General features: G+C 36.4%; 1 annotated feature.

Moving 5' to 3' along the window:
- Positions 5,918-6,122: a silencer, noted in NCBI's record as "fragment chr12:82926586-82926790 (GRCh37/hg19 assembly coordinates)". NCBI's record gives its function as "represses an EF-1alpha promoter that drives an FKBP-Casp9 reporter gene in an ReSE screen in HepG2 liver carcinoma cells {active_cell/tissue: HepG2}" and the evidence as "EXISTENCE:reporter gene assay evidence [ECO:0000049][PMID:32094911]".

Below are 6,539 nucleotides of genomic sequence, written 5' to 3' on the forward strand. Positions count from 1 at the left end.
GGTTTGTGTTTCTTTTGATTATAAGTAAAATCCTACCAAACATTGTTTATTTTTATTTTACTGTGAAATGAATACTTACTATGAGATGTACCCTCTTAGATTTTTAAGTACACAATACCATATTGTTAACTATAGGCACTATGATATACCGAAGGTCTCTAGAATTCATTTACTTTGCATAACTGCAACTTCAGGCATTGCTTTTGAAATCTGAAATACGTGTTCTGATGACTCTATAGCAACCATGATTTTATTCTCAAAAAATAAATACAGATGAGGGTAAAAACCAAAACACATTTCTTGAACTAAAGAAATTATTAAATGTAGACCTTCAAACCGCGTTAAAACCAGCAAGAGTTTGTTATTTTTCTTAAACATTTAATTTTCAATGCATTCTGGTTATTTTCTCCTACGCATCTTAGAGAAGAGGTTATTTGCTGAAATTGTCAATGCGGCTTTGGCTACATTATCTGACAACCAGTAGAGGTCGCCACCTACCACATTGTAGCAAGTCAGGGAGAGGAAAAAAAATTATGAATGTTTGGTTAGTAAAAATGCACAGAGGTCAGAAGTTTTCAATATGAAGCTTTCCTCTTGAAAGCTTTGCATAATTGAACCAATATTCAAGTGAGAGGAAAAAAGAATAAATAAAAATAATGGATCCAAGATGTTGGTGTTACAGAACTTCAAAAAACAGAATTTCTTAGAAATTACATAAAAATTCTTCTAGTTGACTTAGTTAATACAAATTATTCTTCATGTCAAAACATTGGAAAGAAACCTCAAAATGTTATCAAATCTGAACATAATAAAATGTATACATTTGTAAAATGGCATTGTGGTCTCTTTCTACTAGTATGTGTTTGGAACCCCTAAGCATCTCAAATTTTTGGTTTTGACCTCACATATTCTGTGACTTTCATTCTGTGTTTTAATTTTTCTTAATTTATTAGTTGTATCTACTGCACAGTGAAAATTAACCTGTCATAGTGTTAAAGTGGCCTGTGGTTATCACAACTGAAAAGAGCACATTGAAGCTTTAGTATATAATTACTGCTACTTGGTTTCCCAAAAGAAGTTTAAAGTTTAACTTATTTTCTTTAAGTCATAATTAAACTGAGAAGAAAAGACTTCTTTTTTATAGTTTGGAGGGAGAATCTATGTATATCTTGACATAAGAAAATATCTTCCCTTTAGAAGAGGGAATAAACGTATGCTTGATAATTTAGAATGTGCAAATGGGTAGTGATAGGTGATTCAAACAACGGAAGGCTTTTCCAATAAACAAAATGTTTTTAAAAATAGAAATGGTTATTTCAGAAGTTCAGATGGTGAGCTTACCATCACTAGAAATGTTTGCATGGATGGATAATTAGTGAGATGTGGTGAGAATCTTGGTAAGAATGTGTTAGGAATTTGAATACTCAGGTTTGAGGGGGAAGCTTTACTAGATTTCTAAGAAAGATCATGTGTAATTTTTAGGGTTTTTTGTTTTAAATTGATAACAGTGTTATTGATAAAATTATGTTGCATTAGGATAATGCTACGTTAACAAATACATCTAAACATTAGAGTGGATTAGCACAACTGTTTATTTCAAACTCATGCACTATTCCTTGCTGTTATTAATGGTTGGTGGATGACTCTCCTTTATACGGAGATTCAGGGACCCTGGTCTTTATCCGTTTTGTGGCTCTGCCATCTCCTAGGCCATTGAAGTACTTTGCCTCCACCCAGCAGAAAGGGAAAGAAACAAAAGAGAATGAACATCTAATTCTTAAACTGGAAATAACACACTTACTTCTGCTTATATTCCATTGCAGAAAGCTAGTTAGATGACCCCGCATGGATTGAGAGAGAAAAGAAAGCACAAATATTGATACTCAGTTGCTTTCTTTACCACTGTCCTCCCTCTGACAACTGAACATTTGTGCACATCCTTTTTCTTACACATGTATTATCTCTACAAAGAAGTCAACTCAGAGTTATATTTAGTAACTTGATCCAACTAAAAGTCCAGAAAATCTGGGTGATACCTATCCCCTCCATCAGGTCTGGGTGTGACACCTTATAATCTAGTGACTATTTCCTAAAGTATATTGCACCAGTGGCCAAAACCTTAATCATTCCTTATATCCACATTCTTTGCCATGTAACTCAGTGTCCACTCCCTATGCATATAGCAGTGTTCCCCCAGCCTTTTACTCTGGTCTCAGCCAGGTGACTTGCTTTGATCAAAGGAATATTAGCAGATAAGATGTAAGCAGAAGCTTGCCCTCTACTTTCAACATAAGAACATGCTTATGTCTAGTCCACAGAAGGATGAAAGACATACAAAGCAAAGCCAGTTGCCTCAGCCAAGGCATCCTCGGTTAGTTGACAGCCAGCCATCCTCCAGATAGATGAGTGATCTAAGCCAAGATGGAGCTGCCTGGCTAAACCCCAGCTGATTCTAGACATGTGAACAATAAATGCTTAATGTTGTATGACACTTAGGGTTTTGCAATTGTTTATTATGCAGGCTTATTGTGGTCATAGATAACTGATACATGTACCAAACAAGACTCTCAACTCTTAGTGAGCAGAAATTTACTTGGTTTCATTTTCTACATAAAATATAATGCTATACTTTCTCATACTGGAATGCAAACTTTGTTGAGTTCATTTTAATACGTAGCAAGGTTAAGCTAGATAAAATGTTGTAAATATTGTGAAACATAAGCATGAATTAATTTTTATATCTTTATAGCACTTTTAACTTTTCAAACCACTTTCAGATGTCCTTTCACTTGATTTTCACAGCAACTTTGATAGAAGGAAAAGTAGATTCCTGTATTCCTAACTACCAAATCTCAGTGACTAAGTTACTACCCCAATTACAACTGGCTAATGACAGAAGAAAATCAAACACACTGGAATCCATCTCTCCTGCCTTCCAGAATGTACTCCCATTGCTGAATAGGCCTTCATTAGAGAAGTAAGGAGACAACAGTTTTTCCATAGCTATTGTATGATAAACATGATCATAACACTCTTACCTCATTACTGGATATTTTCAAGGTTAAGATTTACTCCTTCAGAAGTCTCTGAATTATGCCTATTCTCTCTAATGAAATGCTTTCCCCAATATTTTCTACTAAAGGATCTGCAGAACTGATCAGTAAACACGAATTGGATGTAAAGAAATTCTTACCTGTAGCAGAGTTTCACAACCTCAGCACTATTGATGTTTGGGCTAGATAATTATCTGTTGTGGGAGTCTTGCCTGTTTATATTCAGTAGCAACCCTGACTTGTACCCACTAGATTCCAGTAACATTGCCCCAGTTGTGGCAAACAAAAATGTCTCTGGACGTTGCCAATTATCACCCCCTAGAGTGATATTCATCCCCTCTTCCATTCAGAAACATGGGCAAATTAAATACAACTAGGATTTTGCGTGTCAGATTCTTAGAAGATGAGAGCTGAACATAAGGAATCAGTTTGTGCAAACTTTTCATTTTATAAAATTTTATATTTCTATTTTCACTTTGTAAGGAAGAAAAGTACACCCAAACAGTTATTCAAAGCTACAAAACTGGTTAATACTATGTCTTTTGACACACTATTGAATTATTTCATATTTTATTTATCTGTTCCCCTTTACTCTGCAAATAAAATTAAGGGACTTTGGATAGACTGTGCAACTTCTAATTCCCGTTCTAGGTCCAAGTATTGACTTAGTGGCCTGCTTTCGGGTTTCTGTAGAAGCCTCATCCTACCCAGGTAATGCCACACACATATCCTTACCTGACTTATCTTCTCTGCCTCTTCAAGTTACCCACAAACCTGACTATCTTTACTACTATCCCCCTGCCAGGCCCTGGTGCAGTCTTTTCTCCTTGTCTCATCTTTCTGGCTGACACTTTAAGGTCCAGTTCTCAATTGTTCTCAAGGCTCTGATTTCTTCGACCTAGCCTAGATATTCTTTTTGTCCTTTTCTTCTTTTAGGTCTTCCTTAAAAACATCCTTTACCATTCAATAATTCTAGTCCTTTAGATATCAATTGTCTGAAGGCAAAACCTACTCAACCCAAGAGGTCCTTTTCAACACCGAATGGGTATATCTACTTTTCATTATTGCCTCCTTCCCAAATTTTTATTTATGTACTCATGAGTCATATTTATATCTTTATTTTATTTTATTTTAAGACAGAATCTCGATCTGTCACCCAGGCTGGAGTGCAATGGCACAATCTCAGCTCACTGCAGCCTCCACCTCCTGTGTTCCAGTGATTCTCCTGCCTCAGCCTCCTGAGTAGCTGGGAATGCAGGCACGTGCCACCAAGCCTGGCTAATTTTTGTATTTTTAGTAGAAACGGGTTTCACCATGTTGGCCAGGCTGGTCTCAAACTCCTGACCTCAAGTGATCAGCCACCCTTGGCATCCCAAAGTGCTAGGATTACAGGCATGAGCCACCGTGCCCAGCATATTTATACCTTTAAAAGAGCAATTATAAGTTTTTTCTTGGAAGTATCCATTGCCCTATTATAAAATTGCCTAAATGTTATGTTTCAGCACGCCAGTCTTTTATTCTCACTTCTTACCTGGAGTAGCCCCCGAATTTCATCATCGTTTTAGGACACAGGGTGTATTTTGCTACTACTTTCCCATCTTTAAAACAAGTAAGTGGACAAAACTAAATAGCTCCCCATCAAAATATAGATTAATAAATTCAGTCCTCTGGGCATGTTGCTTTATGAAATTGGTAGAAAAAAAATATTTGATAAGGAAGCCAAACTTCAATAAAAAGCCTATAATTAAAAAGCTTCCTATCACAGTATTCAAAGAGACAAATACCATTTATTTGTATTCAGGAAACTGACTTCTTTCATTTCAGCCCATCAAGAATATAATCTGATTTCAAATGATTATGTATTAACCTATGGTAAAGAATTGCTATTCTTTTGAGTAAAGAGGGAAAAAAATAGCATCCCATAAAGTATACAGGTAAAAGGCATTTGGAAACTGTGTATTCTTTTCACTTACTTGAGGAATGGTTATTCATTTGCTTTGGGAATTAACTTATTTAAGAATAAGATAGAGGTAGAGGAGATTTGGGAATGGAAGAGACTAAAAATCTCCATTTTAGGTCTAACATTTAAGTCTTTAATCCATCTTGAATTAATTTTTGTATAAGGTGTAAGGAAGGGATCCAGTTTCAGCTTTCTACATATGGCTAGCCAATTTTCCCAGCACCATTTATTAAATAGGGAATTCTTTCCCCATTTATTGTTTTTGTCAGGTTTGTCAAAGATCAGATGGTTGTAGATGTGTGGTATTATTTCTGAGGGCTCTGTTCTGTTCCATTGGTCTATATCTCTGTTTTGGTACCAGTAACATGCTGTTTTGGTTACTGTAGCCTTGTAGTATAGTTTGAAGTCAGGTAGCATGATGCCTCCAGCTTTGTTCTTTTGGCTTAGGATTGTCTTGGCAATGCAGGCTCTTTTTTTGTTCCATATGAACTTTAAAGTGGTTTTTTCCAATTCTGTGAAGAAAGTCATTGTTAGGTTGAAATGCAAATCAAAACCACAATGAGATACCATCTCACACCAGTTAGAATGGCGATCATTAAAAAGTCAGGAAACAACAGGTGCTGGAGAGGATGTGGGGAAATAGGAACACTTTTACACTGTTGGTGGGACTGTAAACTAGTTCAACCATTGTGGAAGACAGTGTGGCAATTCCTCAAGGATCTAGAACTAGAAATACCATTTGACCCAGCCATCCCATTACTGGGTATATACCAAAAGGATTATAAAACATGCTGTTATAAAGACACATGCATATGTATGTTTATTGTGGCACTATTCACAATAGCAAAGACTTGGAACCAACCCAAATGTCCAACAATGATAGACTGGATTAAGAAAACGTGGCTCATATACACCATGGAATACTATGCAGCCATAAAAAATGATGAGTTCATGTCCTTCATAGGGACATGGATGAGGCTGGAAACCATCATTCTCAGCAAACTATCGCAAGGACAGAAAACCAAACACGCGTGTTCTCACTTGTAAGTGGGAATTGAACAATGAGAACACCTGGACACAGGAAGGGGCATGTCACACACTGGGGCCTGTCATGGGGTGGGGGGAGGGGGGAGGGATAGCATTAGGAGATATACCTAATGTAAATGAGGAGTTAATGGTGCAGCACACCAACATGGCACATGTATACATATGTAACAAACCTGCACGTTGTGCACATGTACCCTAGAACTTAAAGTATAATAAAAAAAAAATCTCTGCTGAGATTTAATTGTGCAAATATAACCAGAAAAGAATTATAAGTACGGATGCAATTTGATTCTGCCATAGACCCAGGTGTTGAGCAACTTTTACTCTAGCAGGTATCTAAAAAAGGAGGTGAGTCCTCCAAGATCTATAAAAATGAGGCATAAGGGCATGGGTTTTTTGTGAAGTTCTGAATATTCCATTAGCATGTAATAAGTGTTAATAAATATCATCTGTAAAGTTTAAAGTGTTCATTCTCAACT

The sequence above is a fragment of the Homo sapiens genome, chromosome 12 (genome assembly GCF_000001405.40).
Source record: "Homo sapiens chromosome 12, GRCh38.p14 Primary Assembly".
In the NCBI taxonomy this organism is placed as follows: Eukaryota; Metazoa; Chordata; class Mammalia; order Primates; family Hominidae; genus Homo; species Homo sapiens.